The sequence below is a fragment of the Homo sapiens genome, chromosome 12, assembly GCF_000001405.40.
Source record: "Homo sapiens chromosome 12, GRCh38.p14 Primary Assembly".
NCBI classification, from domain to species: domain Eukaryota; kingdom Metazoa; phylum Chordata; class Mammalia; order Primates; family Hominidae; genus Homo; species Homo sapiens.
The window spans coordinates 99,076,019-99,092,844 of record NC_000012.12 but is presented as its reverse complement, the minus strand read 5'-3'; the positions used below and the strand labels follow the sequence as shown (position 1 = coordinate 99,092,844).

The following is a 16,826-nucleotide window of genomic DNA, read 5'->3' as shown; positions in this document are numbered from 1 at the left end:
GAAGTACCTGCTACACAGTGAATGTAATGGCTGGTAATCTTTTTAGGTACTTCTTTCTGCGTCATTATATGTGGCTGTGTTGGGAATACCCAGGAGCAAATTCTTTTTGCTTCTCCTGCAGAGGAGCCCTTCCTTTTGGAGCTCTGCATCAGCATCTACAGTGACAGGGCATTTGCAAGAGCTTGATGAACGTACAAGGGCGCCATGTTCCCTGCCTGTTCGGAGCAAGGTGTCCAAACTCACCTAACCCTGTCTCACTTTTCTCTTGTGAGGCACTGGGAAACGTTCAGCATATTAGACAGAAGAACAACACTCAGATATCTGCCAAGATTATGTACAGCCTACCCAAGGAAGTTTTTTTTTTTTTTTTTTTTCAGCTTCACAGCTTGTGATTACAAAAGGACACAGGACAGCTGCTAACTGTTTTCCTTTCATCTCCGCTTCTGGCACGTTCTTCTTCAGATAGCTCTCCTGCAACACTTGGTCTGTACCACAGTGGGAGCTAAAAGAGTAGGACAGAGGTGCCACCCCAACCCCAGCCGCACCCCCTGCTCAGACTCAGCTGCTGGGAAAGACCATTTAAAGCATTTAATATCCTCCCTACCTCTCTGGGGATGGTGTCAACCCAGTGAGACACCACACTTCAAAAGAGAAGTTGAAGCTTTGTGGGTAGTTAGGGAACGTTTAGACTAGAAACTAGAAACCCCCCAGGTCCCTGCCAAGCCTGATTCCAGGATTCAGTGAACAGAAAGGACTGGAGCAAAGCAGGGAAGATTAGGCCAGACAGCTCTCCAAGTTCTCTTCCATAGAGAGGGTTCATTGTTGCTTCGGTACTGTGAAATCAAACATAAATGCATTGGAACACTCGCTTTCAAATGTGAATTTCAGATGACTCTGAAGTAAAAATATAAATGGTGTGGATCTAACCATGTTTTTTTAACTCAACCTTTTATCTCCTGCATGATTCCTGCTAGAGGTAGTATAGGGTAAGTCTTGAGAAAGTCTCCTATCAGCTATGGGAACAAGCTACCTACCTCATAGGAGTTATTGTGAGAATTAAATAAAGTAATATATGGAAGGTATTTAGAACAGTGCCTGACACAGTAAGTGTGCTATTTACTTTACACTAATGAACACCAACTGCTATCAGTGTGAAAGTTGAAGGAAGACAGTAGGTATTCATCAGCTTTATATTTATACAGATATATGCATCTGGAGAGAAGTAAGAGCATACAAAAAAGTTTTGTTCACATCAACTTTTCTTCTTACTTGAAGGAGCTCTGGGTTAGCATCCTTAAAAATGAAGAATAGGCTCCTTCTCTCATAGCTATAAAATTTTTGACCAAAGGCAGTACAAATTACTGTATAAATTATTTTGCACTCTTTTACAAATACACATAATTCTAAAACCTACATGAACACATCTCAAGTGAATTACATTTATAATTTATGATATCACCAAATCCTGCTCGATACTTTAACAAATAAATACCTGGTTACTTAAATTCCTTCTCTTTCTCTGTAGCTTGACAACAGATGTTTCAAAGGGGAATTGGGTTTCAAAAATAAAGAGGAAAAAATCGGTGACAGAAAATTCATTGTAATCATGGTAGCTGTTAAATATATAATGCTAAACTATATCTTAACCTTAAGATATAATTTATTAAAATACACAGCTTGCACATATAAGATGATGTCTTATTGGTCAGTGATGTAATATTTTTTGAATCAATAGTCCACATAGTCTGAAGAATCCAGAAAGCTTTCTTCATAAGCTAAAAACATGAAAATTTACTTAAGTTGTATGCAAGAAATTTTATTGCGGTAGACAGAATATGTTTAAATGGAGGATTAGGGTAGAGGGATTTTTTAGTGTACTATAGAATTTTCTTCCACTGCCATTTCATTAATGTGAGAGAGGAAGTTAAAGTTGGAAGAAGCACATCATCCATTATCTGATCAGTTATAGTCACCCGTGTTTCTATATGATAAGCTAAATAAAGCTTTGTTCCAACACTGACAGAGGAATAATAAATCTGGTATTTAGCACAATAACCATTATCATAATCATGCAGAGAAGACATGCATTGGGTTTACTTGTAAATTGATATCAAATTGACTCAAAGCTTTTATAGAAGCAGAGAGGTAGCATTGTTATTCCAAGAAAATTATGTACAGTTTCATGCTACCATGCTATTTATGTTATAAAAGGCTAAATATTAAAAGCAAACTAAAGTACATGTTTTTCTATGTGTAAGTTTGTAAGATCTTGCTGTCATTCTATTATACAGTGATTCTATTTTAAATATTTAAGGTCACATAAATTGTGGAGAAGAATCTAATTTAGCTAATTATAGAGCAAAAACAAGTTTCCCCAATCAACAGTATCATCTTGATTTTTTTAGTCTTGGACTGGATGAAGGAAGAGAATAAATAACATTATCCAACTCAAGTTTATATTAAGAATAAGCCAGTTCCCTGTGGTCCTTAAATATATTTTCCTAACATTTTCTACAATATATAATATGAAGGAAAGCTTGCTAAATGAATAAGATATCGTATTAAGTTTAAAAAACTACAAGAAATTTTAAATGCAGAGTTTGGAGAGACAGAGCCATCAGTACAGATATTTTTGAGATGTTTTTGGTAAATAGCTGTTTTACTTCTAATGAATAATTAAATACAAAACACTGCTTTTCATTCTATTTGGGCATCCTAACAGTTTATCACAGCTGAAGAAGTTCAGTACCTAAGATATTCTCCCCGTGGTCAAAGAAACTTCCACTTTCAGCTATTAGTGCATAAAACATTAGGTGACTTTTTCCATTCCATGATTTAAGAGATCAATAAAGACACCCTGCATTAGACATTTCTTGACAGGCAAAGAACAGCTATTCTAAAAATACTGCATTTGGGTCTTTGATCATTCTAGAAAGTCATTAACTAAACAACTTTATTTATTGATTATTGTTATTTAAACACCTTATGCAGTGTGATTGGTGGATGCTAAGAAAGTCAAAAATAATTTAGTGATTGGACTTGTCATTTTCATAGCATAGATTTATAGCCCCACCATAAAGAAATGTTGCTGAAAGTAGAACAACCTTCTAATTTCTTTTGGTGACTGAAGAATTAAAAGAGAATTTGCTAAAGATCCTAAACTTAATGTTCATGAACTTTGACTAAGAGGCACATGAATAACTACATCCTGAGAAAAACTCATGAGTATTTTTGAGTCCCTGATTTGATTCCCTGCTACTGCCCCATTTTTGTGATTTGACTAAAGTTTCAATGTCTCTAACTGTAGAGTAGCACTGTCTAATGGAACTTGCTACAATGATGGCGATGTTCTGTATCTTTGTTGTCCAATATGGTGGCCATCACCTACATATGGCAAGTAAATTCTTGAAATCAAGATTTAAAAGAATCAACTATATTTGGCAATTGAGGGGTCATTCTTAACATTTGACAGAGAAGTTCTATGGAGTTGATGGGGGGGAACAGCTTATTCTGGTGGGTTGAGGAGGAAAATGGGAGATGAAAACATGGGACTGGAGTGTACTGGGTAGGAAAGGAGATTGAGAGTGCAGTGTAGTAGATGACTAAACAGAAGATGGACATGACGGAGCTCTGCCCCCAAATCATTGACCTAAAAGTTATGTGAAAAAAAAAAATGATGGAGGAGGAAGAAAGCTAGAGTTGTGTTCAGTTTTTATTGAGAAAAATGAGCGGTTGCTCACGCCTGTAATCCCAGCACTTTGGGAGGCCGAGGCAGATGGATCACCTGAGGTCAGGAGTTCGAGACCACCCTGGCCAACATGATGAAACCCTGTTAGCCAGGCATGGTGACGGGCACCTGTAATCCCAGCTACTTGGGAGGCTGAGGCATGAGAATCACTGGAACACAGGAGACAGAGGTTGCAGTGAGCCAGGATCGTGCCATTGCACTCCAGCCTGGGCAACAACAGTGAAACTCCATCTCAAAAAAAAAAAAAAAAAAAAAAAACAGAAGTTAAACTGAGATTTGCTAGCATTTAGTAAAGGCAAGTGATAAAGTGAGAATTAATTCCAGCTCCCTAGGAAGAATGGGAATGTTTATTGTCTTTGATGGCACAACTGTCACCCAGGTGCCAAAGAAATGGTTAGATAGTTATAAGGTTTGAAACATTTTGTTTTTCCCTGAAAAGCTATAAGAATCCGTACTACTACAAAAATAAGTTACCTTATAATTTCCTTTAATAAGAAATTTTATAAGTCCATCATACCAAGATTGATTTGTCAAAAAAAAATATATATTCTTGAATTTCTCTTTAATCACTTCTTAAAGCTAATTTTAGGTTACAAATTCTGAAACACTGAAACATAATTTCAAAATATACAATCTATATTTATATATAATGATACCAACCAAAAATCAAACATGGCTGAAATCATAGCATTTTGAAACTGAATACATATTCATTAAACTGCTTCATTTGGTGGGTGAGGACCAGGAAGCCTACAAAGAATGTATGACTTAGCCAAGTTTGCCCCGCCATGATCCAAACCCAGTTCTGCAGACTCCAAGTCCCCTAGTGTTTGGACAAAAGGCTGGCTGAATGATGTACTAGGATATTTTTGGCATCCCTATGTATTATAGAAAAAGATAAAATAGAAAATTTCTAACAGCATGCCTCACTGGGGACAGTAAATCCTTTCCTTTCCATTTCCCAATTAGTGCCATTTCCCCTTTGACACATTTTCACTATTTTTCTTGTGCTTCCCATAATTTTGGTTCATTTTTCAAAAATGTTTGGCAATTATCCTATATGCTAGGAAATTTGGCTCAAAAAGATGTTCTTATGTACTCAACACCTTCTTTAAAAATATCTAACTTCCCTATAATTCTTCAAAAGGACTCCTCTCTTACTGAGATACAGAAAATAGCATATTGGAGGTGTAGAGGAAGAACAGTGATCTTTAGGATTTAATTTACCAAAACATTTCAGTATTCAAACACTGAAATCCAGTTGTCAGGATTACCTAGAGATAGTAGCTATGCACACTATGGGATATTCGTATGCTTTCTGTTTCTGCAAAAAAACCAGGTCCTCTATTCTACATGGGCTGAAGTTGTGGGTTGGTAAGTTAGGACCTGGAAAACCTGGTAATGTTCTAGCACAAAGATGACGAAAGATTTTTTCTTAAGGGCCAGGTAACTCCTCAAAGAGTAAAAGTCAGAATGGTATCACATATCTCGCTCATGCCATACTAGTCCATTTCTGGAAATAATAACGCTTTCTCTAAATGAAGTCATTTGTATTCTCAGCCATGCTCTGTTGTGTGCACTGAGTAATTTCTTGAGAGCAATATTTCCTGTGGCATGTTGCCAAGACTGGCTTTATTTGTTTTTCATTAGGCTTTTCATTATCATGCTGCTGAATACCTGGATCATTCTGCTTCCTCCGAGATGGCTGGTGTTGCTTAAGCATAAGAATGACACTATGAGTAGGTGGAATGCTTTTGTCCAGTGAATGCCCGTTTTAAATCCCTAGCTGTTGTGCCATTCCAGTGGCTTTAATCCTTCTAAGCACAGCCAGTTATCCATTTATAGCATAGTCTGATATTATTAAGTTGTTTACATGCATCTATTCTGTCCCTGTCCAGGGAAAGATGTTAGTCTCACTTTGCGCCCCACCAGGGCTGTTCTTCCTCCTTTATTATGGCAGGAAAAGGCATCAAGTTCCACTCACTGCCCAAGCCTTGAATTTTTGTGTATTCCACATTTCTGCATCATTCCACATGTTCAATCTCCACGTCAAACTTCCTGATAGTTTGCAAATCCACCTGCTTCTTTTTGCTCCTGTGACTACTACGTTAGTCTATGCCCACAGCGCCTCTAGAAAACAACCACAGTGGTCTCCATGCCCCAGAATCACCCTTTCAAATTCATTCTCCTTTGCTTTGAGTGTCTAATGGTACTCATCACTAAATAAATGGATATTCTGTCATTTCTATTCTTGCGTTTTTGTGTTACACATAAGTAGGACAGAGTTTGATTTGTCAAAAAAAATAGTGATCTGAATTCTTGAACCTCTATAGACGCCTCAATTTAAAGAGAAACTCTGTCTTACAAACCGTGAAAGATTAAAATCTAGGGATAAAATGAGCAATATGTAAACTTCTGCATTCAAATATTAATCACAGGTTTAAAATAACCATTGAAATCAGAATTTTAGGACTGAACTGGTCCTTGGACATTGTGGGCTCAACTTTATCATTTTATAGGTAGGGAAACTGAGGCCCAGCCCCAGAAATCAAAATAATGTTTCTAAATTTGGAATCTCAGCATGTAACTCTCTTTCTTAAAAGCTGTCCATGGCTACCCATTATGGTCAGGATAAAGTCTGAAGCCCTCAGCATGGCATGCAATATCTGTATGGTCTGCCCTCTGCTTACTCATTCAGCCTTACCGTTTGCTCCTCTCTCCATATTATCCCAGAACATGATGCTTCCAAGTATACTACATTCCTTCTTACTCACAGGTCTTTGCACATAATTTCCCCATTGTCCTTCCTCTTTTAGGTGCTATGCCTTAACCACCCATTTTTCCTATATCTGATTAGATGTCCTTTTCTCTGAAAAAATACCCTGGATTCCCTCTGGACTCCTAAGCAAGTGTCACCATCATAGCACAGTCTCAGCATCCTACCTAACTGCCTTTGAACAGTCCCTTTCCATCACGGGACTGGAAGGAATAAAGGCAGTTGTGGGTAGGGCCCTGCATCATATTCATCATTCAATCTTCATATCGTGATCTGGTGTCTGGCATTCAATAATTTTTTTAACTTTTATTTTATGTTCAAGAGTACACATGCAGTTTGTTACGTAGGTAAACTTGTGTCATGGGGCTTTGTTGTACAGATTATTTCATCACCCAGGTGTTAAGCCTAGTACTGATGAGTTATTTTTCCTGATCCTCTCCCTCCTCCATCCTCCACCCTCCAACAGGCGCCAGCGTGTATTATTCCCCTCTACGTCCGTGTGTTCTCATCATTTAGCTCCTACTTATAAGCGAGAACATGTGGTGTTTGGTTTTCTGTTCCTGCATTAGTTTGCTAAGGATAATGACCTCCAGCTCCATCCATGTCCCTGCAAATGACATGATCTCATTCTTTTCTATGGCTGCACAGTATTCCATGGTGTATATGTACCACATTTTCTTTATCTAGGCTATCACTGATGGGCATTTAGGTTGATTCTATGTGTTTGCTATTGTGACTCAATATTTTGAAATTAAGTATTAACTCTCACTTTTAACCTGCCTAATATATGTCAATTTTTCTATCAGCCTTCCGCACAAAATCTGTCATCAAGGGGGGAAAAATGATTCATTCATATCAATGTGTAAGTCACTGATAATCTTAAATGGCAACTCTTACTAGAAGCATTCACATTTTTACAGAAACAAAGTTTTTTTTTTTGGATCTTTTTTTATTTATTTATTTTTATTTTATTATTATTATACTTTAAGTTTTAGGGTACATGTGCACAATGTGCAGAAACAAAGTTTTAAGTCACACGAATGAATCTCCAGTGCAGATAACCCCATGTGGATATAAGCCACGATAGATATTTGTGAGGGGAGGGGAGCTTTCTCCTAGACTTCACATCAGTAACAAGGTGACCGACTCTGCCCTCACCCTCACGGAAGAATGACTCTATGTCTTTGTTCATAAAAATCAGGTCACTCACTGGTTTTCTCTGTATTAAATAAATCCTTGTTATTTATCCACAGTATAAATGCTTGATTTAACTTGTAACATTTCTGTTTTGTTTCAGGGAAGCAATGTTATGGAAGATCAGGATTTGTTGGAAATTGGAATCCTTAATTCTGGGCACAGACAAAGAATTCTACAGGCAATCCAGCTCCTTCCAAAGGTGAGCAATACTTTTATTGCCCTAGTCCTGTGTACGGTTCCCAGTGATTTTGAGTCCAGGCATGCAAGGAGTATTTGTATTTAGTACAGTAGTTCTACATATTGATGCAACCTCAAGAGCAGATCTTCTTAGGTCCAACTGCACATTCAGACTTATGAGACTACTATGGGCCACACTTGGCTTGAGGTTTTATTGTTTTTTTGTTTTGAGACAAGGTCTCTCTCTGTCACCCAGTCTGGAGTGCAATGGTATGATCTAGGCTCACTGCAACTTCCACCTCCTGGGTTCAAGCAATTCTCCTGCTTCATCTTCCTGAGTAGCTGGGGTTATGGGTACACACCACCATGCCTGGCTAATTTTTGTGTGTGTATGTATTTTTAGTAGAGATGGGATTTTGCCATGTTGGCCAGGCTGGTCTTGAACTCCTGACTTCAGGTGATCCACCCACCTCGGCCTTCCAGACTTCTGGGATTACAGGCATGAACCCTTAGCTTGAGATTTACCTAGAAAAATGTGATACAGAAAACACTGCTGGCCACCAGGGAAGCTTCAGATTTTCTCTTCAGTGAGAGTCCTAATATCAGTACAAATATCAGTTCTGGCCCCCCAGGTGGCAGCTCAGGTTCAAGAAGACTAGATTCATATTGGGTGGGTGCAGGAATGGCCCTGGCTTAAAAGCCTCCTGCCCCATAAGAGACGATATCTCCTGCAACAACTCCATAGACTTATCCTCCATGGTCCCTACAAGGGACCTAATTACACGAGTCATTACTCAGGGAAGTCCAAAGTATCACATCCCCATCATGTATTTATAGTTCATGTATAGGCCCTCCTAGTCCAGATGCAATTTACCAACCAGGCATCATTTTTACTGTAAGCAGTGTGTTACCTAGCAACAGAGTTGACCTCCTGTTTCCAGATAAGGTGTCAAAGTAGCCTAAAGGAAGAGGCAAAATCTGAGCATGAATCTTTCAGATATGTGGGATTTTAATTGATAAGGAAAGGAAAATGCATTTCAGATCTATGGCCATACCAACCTGAACGTGCCCGATCTCGTCTGATCTCGGAAGCTAAGCAAGTTCGGGTCTGGTTAGTACTTGGATGGGAAAAGGCATTTCAGGAGGCCCCAGGAACCATATAAAAACAAATTTGGTTCAGGCAACAAATTGCTGGAAGTATGAGGGAAATAGACATTTAAAATCCAATGGGATTTGTACAACAATGCAAATGTACTTCATGCCACTGAAATATACACCTAAAAATGGCGATGATGGTAAGTTTTATGTTATGTGTATTTCATAACATATTCATGCAATTCAAAAAATAATTTTAAAAAGAGGAAGAAAATTCAAGGTGATTAAAACAATTGAGAAGTGTGTAGTCAGAGATAAAGCAGAAAAAGTAGGTTGGGTCAGTGTGTGTCAGGCTGAGGAATTTGAAATTTATTCTGTAGGCACTGGGGAATGGACATGACTGGACTACTTTAGGCCAGTTAATTCTAGAGGCAGTGTACAAGTGGGATTAGAAGGAGGGAAAGTTGAAGTTGGGTCATCTGTTTGCAAAAAGACTGTGGGGCAGATTGGAGGCAGGTGGCAGATGAACTGTAATAGATACACCTGGATATTTGAGATTGTCCTAGGTTTTGTACTCTCCTATCCTCCTATTCTTTCTAGAGAGGCTATACTTTCTCCCTCCCTAAGTGGGAAAAGTAAATATTAGCCACTATTTCTAAGGAAATTGTCTGATGAAATTTCCCAACTGACAGTGAATTGAATTTCTACTGATAGACACTTACTCCTTTTGCAAATTCACTGAGCCAAATATACAAAGGAGTTTAATCACATAATTTTCTACACTAAATGGAAAAGAATAAAACATCCTTAGAACCAATTCAGGAAGTAATTCCTATGAGCATATTGTTCACCTCTCTGCTTGTGTATGTTTACTTAAAATATTACCTTCTCAGCAAGTTTTGTTGTTCTCACTTTCAGCAATGGCTTCCATACTGCTGTATCTATAGCACCTAGCACAGTGCCTGGTTCATAAAAATAGATAAGCACTCAACAAATCCATGAATGACTACTTGCTTTGTCACATGCTGCCATTCATTTAAAGTTCAACTCAGATATTATCATATCATATCACTTCCTTTGTGCAACTTCCTTCAAAATGGAACCGCTCCTTACCATCTAAGTAATTATCAACCTAGTCCTCACCAACCACCTCTATCTAGATGGACTACCACAGTGCATTCCAGTCTGTCATCCTTGGTTAGACTACATGAATCAAGTTCTCATTGTTCTCCTCTATCCTGGACTATTCACAGATGCTTAACCTCTGTCCAGGTTACCTTCTTACCCCTCTATAATTGAATTTCTATACAGTATCTGGAATGATCCTTCTAAAATATAAATCAGGTCATGCTATACCCTGCTTCAATTCTCCAGTGAATTTCCTTCCCACTTAGAATAAAGTCTTTATCCTGTCCTACAAAGGTCCCACTACCTAGAAAGCCCTTCCTTCAGAACTTCATACACTTGCTCCTATACATTGTCAAATCTCTATTCGAATGTGACATCTTCACAGGGGCCTTCATGAGCTAAAATTCACATCCTTCCCTTACCATCACTGTTCTTGCTATTGCTCTGCTTTATTTTTCTTCATGCCACTTAGTGTGATCTGAAGTTATATTATTTATTTGCTTTTTTTCTTCATTATTTTCCATCTCACCCTCAGGAAGCAAGGTCCATAAGGTCAGGGACCTTGACTGTCTTATTCTCTTTTCTATATATCCAGCCTCTAGAATAGCACCTGTCACATAGTAGGTACCCAAGTAATACTTGTGGTATGAGAAAATACACTGACCTTCCCTTTCCTCTGAGATTTTATGGCCCTGTCCTTGTTCCTATCTCAAGGTACTAATAACATTCAGCCACTTCTATGCTATAAACATCCTGAGGGCAGAGACAGTGCAACATCCTTGAATTTCCCATGATGCTTAACCCAATACATAGACATTCTTTTAAGAATGAATGAGTGAGTGACTGAGTGAATGAATATTTTCCTCACATGTCATTCAAATGTATATTTTTAATCAGAGCACCTCAATTTTAAGATATATCTGTAATCCTGTACACACCACTTGATAATGCAAAACAAGAGAAACTGAACGTAGAATTATTTGAAGAATAAATGAAGTGTTTATTTCTAATACAGAATATCATTCTCATTAGAGAAAATAATATAAGAGAAACAATACAAAATTAAGCTTCTATAGAGAGGCTGATGCAGAAGAGCTCACTCTGCACACAAATTAGTAGAGAGTATATAAAAACATCCAGACGCACATTGAGCAGCACAAATAGAATGTTGTAATGCCACAAATTGATGCTTTGCCTTCTTAGGTAATGAGCCCGATCTTCAGATGGTTAATAGTGTCATTTTATTGCCAGCACATTCATCTGCATTCACTTTAACTTTGCACTGCCAGAAAACGGACAAAATGTCTCTTCATTTTGTTTATACAATTTCAGTCTTCAGAATATTTGTATTCTTCATCTGTCATGAGAAGAAATATTCCATGATTGCTACCTGGGATCCTTTAATTAACATATTGTGTTGTGGAATTAGTGAGATTGTTCCTAAACAGAGAAAAGGTGCTTTGCTCAGTACAATCTTGATGTGTTAGCACACTTCAAAGCATATTTTTCATGCTTTTATTTGTATATGTTGTGTCAAGCTTCAAAGAAAAAAGTTTATTCCTTTTGTAAGAATAGCTATTCTTTAATATGTCTTTTTTAATACTGAAATATTCACCAATGCGAAGATTTACATCTTCTCAACTACATTTGATACATTCAACACATAGAATGCATCTTTCTCGCTGTCTTTTGCAATGCTTGACCTTTTGTAAAGCTTAATTATCCGTTTTCACCCAGAGTCTACTTCCCTCACCAACCCCAACTCTGTCTTTTCTCAGCTCTAAAAGCTTTCCTGGACTTCTTGAAGATCAAATTTCACCTTTTTCCCTTTTTATGAAAGGAAACAAACCCAAAGTTCCACAAGAAAATGGCTTTTTTTCTACTGTCCTAGAAATGTTAAGTTTATTGTGCTTTTTCTGTCTCTTTGGACACAGGGATATTACCTGATTACTTATTTTCAACATAAAACTTAGTTTTTTCCAGAAAAGAATTGTATGTGGCCAAGTCTTTGGATAATCCTCTAATACATTTTCCTTTTTAAAAGGGCATAAACGCTTCTGTCCTTTGATAATATAACACCTGAAGGTCAGGCATTCAAAGGATTTTCATTTTAAAGGTTTGCAGGACTTTGTGTCAAGGCTCATATCGCATCTGCTCTCTTCATATCCCTCAACCTGAGTTGACAGTATATTTCAGCACATAAGCAACTTTTATATTGTATGCTCACGCTGTTTTTCAATATTTCTTCTTCTAATGCTTTCCAGTTTTATAATACCTTTTGGAATTACTTAGTAGTTGTCTATACTCAACGTCTCCCCATTTCCTTTGCTCCACTAATCCCTCAAGGGCTTGAGTTGTTTCTCTGCTGCGACCTCCTACAACCAGTGCTAAGGTCACCAGTAAGCAGAAGATCAGAAATTCCATAAGCCCTTTGTTATCTCCACCCTACTTTGACTTCAGCAGACTCTGATACTATTGACAATTATTGTTATCAACCAAACTGGGTTCATTTGCCTGCACACAATTGCGGCCAAACACTGAAGCGCTGGATTTTGTAGAGAGAAAGGTTTATTGCAAGGCGGCCAAGCAAGGAGGCAGGAATCCAGTTCAAATCCGTCGCCCTGTACCAGCCTTAAAGCGGTATATTTAAGGGAGAGATTCTGGGGGCGGGGCTTCCCGGTTGGTTAGTGATTGGCAGAAAGGAATGGGAAGTTTGGAAAGTCCGTTGAGCATGCGCAGTTGTCCCTTCGTGCTTTTCCGTGGGTTGCCTGTGCAAATTCATGGGGAACTGGTCTGAAACATGACGTGGAAATTCAGGCTGTGACATCAAAACGTCACCCCCCAGGAGAGCGAGTCTATTCTGTGCCATTCTGACTCCAGTCAGCCTTATTGGTTCCAGCCAGTTTCAGCCAGTCAGCCAGTTTTGTTGCAAGCAGAGAGAATTATAACAAGCTGTTTCTTCGTCTGTCTTCTTGCAAGGCAAGCTCAAGGATTCTTGTTAACCCCATGGGGCAAATTTTCACTATTAACATTGTCTTCTTTCGGCTTCCACAATACGTAGTTACTCTCTGCATCTCTGCTGTTGTCTCTCTGCCTACTCATTCTCCTCGGTTAAATCCTGGAGTTCCTCAAAACTCAAACCCAAAAATATTTGATGACTAGTAAATATTGTTATCACAGGACTCTTGATCTTAGTGCGACGTCTGGTATTCACTTTTGTTCATTGCTACTGTTACTTTACTACATAATGAACACCTGAATTTTAGTGGCCCTTTACTTCTGAGTTCTGCTCAGTTTAACCAATATTTATTGGAGCTACATATATTTATTTTTTTCACTGAATGGCACTGAGAACCTCTGAATGAATGGATTAAATTACCCCCTTCTCTATCCTCAGTTTGAGGCTTTGGCTAAAAAAATTTTTGCTGTTATTCCAATAGATGATTTATATTCTGTATTGTTAAAGAACAAATTACCCCAAATTTTAGTGGCATATAACAACATTTATTATCTCCCAATTTCTGTGGGTCAGGAATCCAGGTACAATGTTGATTGGGTCCTCTGTCTCTGGATCTTTCAGACAGCTACAGCTGTCTCAAGACTCAAGTCAAGAGGATCTACTTCCTAACTCACTCACATGGTTGTAGGCAGGATTCAGGCTCTTAGGGATTTTCGGACTGAGGCCTCAGTGCCTCACACACTGTTGGCTGAGGCCTCCCTTAGTTCCTTGTCACCACATAGAGCATCTCACAACATGCAGCTAGCTTCAACAGAACAAGCAAGTGAGAAGACAAGAAAGTGCTAGCAAGATGGAAGTCACAGTCTTTTGCTACCTAATCACACAAGTGACATCCCATCTTTTTGCCATTTTCTATTCATTACAATCAAGTCACCAGATTCAGTTCATACATAATAGAGGTGTTTACACAAGGGCGTGAATACCAGACGGTGGGGACCATGGGGTAGGGCGGGCAGGGTGGGGTACATCTTAGAAGTTGGCCAGGTACATTTTATAATGATCTACTTTACAGCCTAGTTTCCATTGTCCACATTTGTAGTTAAAATGGAATAATCCGTCAAAAACTACAAGGAAAAAAACACCCTTTATTTCCTTGGGCCATCTTCCTGGGACTGTATTGTTCACAGTCAGATGATTTAAGAGCCACCTTTGCTACTGCCACTCAAAAAAGAGGCACATGTCTCTGGTCTGTAGAGTTAGGTATAATGTAGCATGATATAAGATAATACAGAAGTTAGGGACACTAGATATTTGCAAATTGTACATAATCACTTCATAACCTGAACATCACTGATCTAAGTGATATACACAAATCAGTAATCCCATAAAACAGCACAGTTTCTTAAAATGTATTTATTCTTCATTGTTGCCTCATTACTGAAAAGAGTATTTTACCATATATATTAGGTCAGTGAGTCTACTAAACTCTATTGGACAAAACTTGAAGAATGTTAGCAAATAAAACGGGTTCTAATAAACTAACATAGCTAGAAAGTTACAAGTGGTCATTTAATTTTAGGCCTGAACGAAGAAAATAGATCAAAGCAACAGTTGGCCCCCTCAAAATGGTGTGGGCAGAGATTGTAGGGATTGAAAACTCAAACACTTTTAAAGAAAAGACAATATGGAGTGGTGGAAACTGTGGCACACTGGAGAGCAGAAGTCCTGCCCCTCCTCACCCCCCAAAAAAACTGTGGGTTTCTTTCATAAACACTTTGTTAACAAAACAAAGCATTGGGGGCCAGATTTGGTTATAGGTGTCACTCTGCTACCCCTATGTCATAGATGAAGAGAATCACTCTAGAAATGTCTTAATATGATGAGATCACAGGTTATTTCAGCCTTTGAAAGGAGTATTAGGAATGTGACATTCTTTCAAAGAAGTTACATCTGAATTTTAAGGACCTTGAAAGAACTAGAGTCTTTAAGAGAACAGAGACATTCTATGAAGATAATTTTAAGGACCTTGAAAGAACTAGCATCTTCAAGAGAACAGAGTCATTCTCTTAAAGACGCTAGTGCTCTCTAAGTCCTTAACATTCAGATGTTTATTGATTCTAGGCTTGATGGTTGACGCAGATGTGTGTACGCTTTAGCGGAAAAGTGTACAACCAATGTTATTTCTTTAAAAGTCTAGAAAGGAAGGTTCAGTCTTATTTCCCTGTCACTTAGAAAAATGATAGAAACTTGTTCTTATTTCTTCTGGTATTTTTCAGAAGGGCAATGACAAAATATAGCCCACAGGCATAGATGCTCTCATGGTACCTTTTGACAGGGCGACTTATTTTCATTCTCCCATCCCATCACTCACTCTCCATCTACCCTCATTCTTTTCACTTGCATTTCTTTTTATTCTTTTTATTGCATGTCTTAAACTCACTGCCACTCAGTGTTGGCCTACCACCCAGTGGACATCAGTTAAAGATACACGGTCAAAGAGAATCTCACACCCACATACGTGCACTGTTAGCATGGAGGTCCTAACCTAAAGTAAATACATGACGGGACCCAGTCTCACCGAAGGCACAGAATATTCTATTTCCTATAGGTCCAGTCCTTAGTAAGACAGGCTGTGGTATTCCCAGGGTTCTTACAAGCTCCACTCAGTTCTGAAAATGTCTTGTGGGGTTTTTTTTGTTTTGCTTTTTGTATTTTTGTTTTTTGTTTTTTTGCCGGGGGTGCAAAACAGATATGCTCAGTGCTCAGGGGTTGGCAAACTTTTTCTGTGAAAAGCCATATCATAAATATTTTATACTCTGCTGGCCATATGTCCTATATTGTGGTTACTCAACCCTGTTGCAGAGTGAAAATAGCCATAGATGATTCAGAAATGAATGAGTGTGGCTGTGTTCCAAATAACTTTATTTAAAAAAACAGGCAATAGACCAGGCTTAGACTGTAGGCATAGTTTACTGACCCGTAACTTATCAATAAATATCCAGCTAGATTAAGAACTTTTCCATACTTCTGAGAATCTTCTAAACAGGGAAGAACTCAGATCAGAAATATAGCCTACTTTATCAGACTAGTGAAAGGCCCCAGGGTAACCCAAGCCTCCTGATGTCATCCCAGAGAAATGTGTATAATTAACAGGGATGACATTGGCTATATGTCTTTTAGAAAAGGAGTCAGCCCCTTTGACCATCTTCATGGGACTATATGCTATTCAGTGTTCAGCACTTATTTCAATCAATAGACAGGTGTTTATTGAATATGCTGTACTCACAGATCTGACCCCAAAACTGTGATTCTTACAGAGTTCTGTTTCTGTGCCGCAATACTCTCTTTACTTTCCTTACTTTTTCTAATATTGTTTCATTAGCTGCTTATACTTAGTCTATTTTATACATTGATATTCCCTAAAATTCAGCCTTAATTCTCTCATCTTCTTCCTTCCCTTACCCTCCTGAGGCGCCTTCATTTGCCTGCATAGCTTCTGCTATCACCTTCATATGAGCAACTGTCAACCCTCGTCTGGGTTTGGAGCTCTTTCTGCCTTCAGAACGCCTACATCTGAACACAGCTGAAGTCCATTTCTTTTAAAAAACCCAGCCTCTATTCTATTATATTTATCTTTATTCATTCATTCTGAAAATAACTGTGAGTGCTTACTATATACTAGTCATTTCCCTTAGCACTAGGGTTACAGTAATGAGTAATATAGATGAAGCCCTTGCCCTCATAAA

General features: G+C 38.3%; 1 protein-coding gene and 1 pseudogene across 51 annotated transcripts in view; both read left to right on the top strand.

The window, feature by feature from the left end:
* The window catches only part of ANKS1B (ankyrin repeat and sterile alpha motif domain containing 1B), a 1,250,151-nt gene that overhangs the window by 892,092 nt on the left and 341,233 nt on the right, over positions 1-16,826 (top strand). For all 51 annotated transcript variants that reach the window (XM_006719514.5, XM_006719507.5, NM_020140.4 and 48 more), the window contains one exon: positions 7,822-7,920. In XM_006719514.5, coding sequence (XP_006719577.1) covers positions 7,822-7,920 — 99 coding nt within the window. The remainder of the gene's footprint in view (positions 1-7,821; positions 7,921-16,826) is intronic.
* On the top strand, positions 8,940-9,062 carry RNA5SP366 (RNA, 5S ribosomal pseudogene 366; annotated as a pseudogene).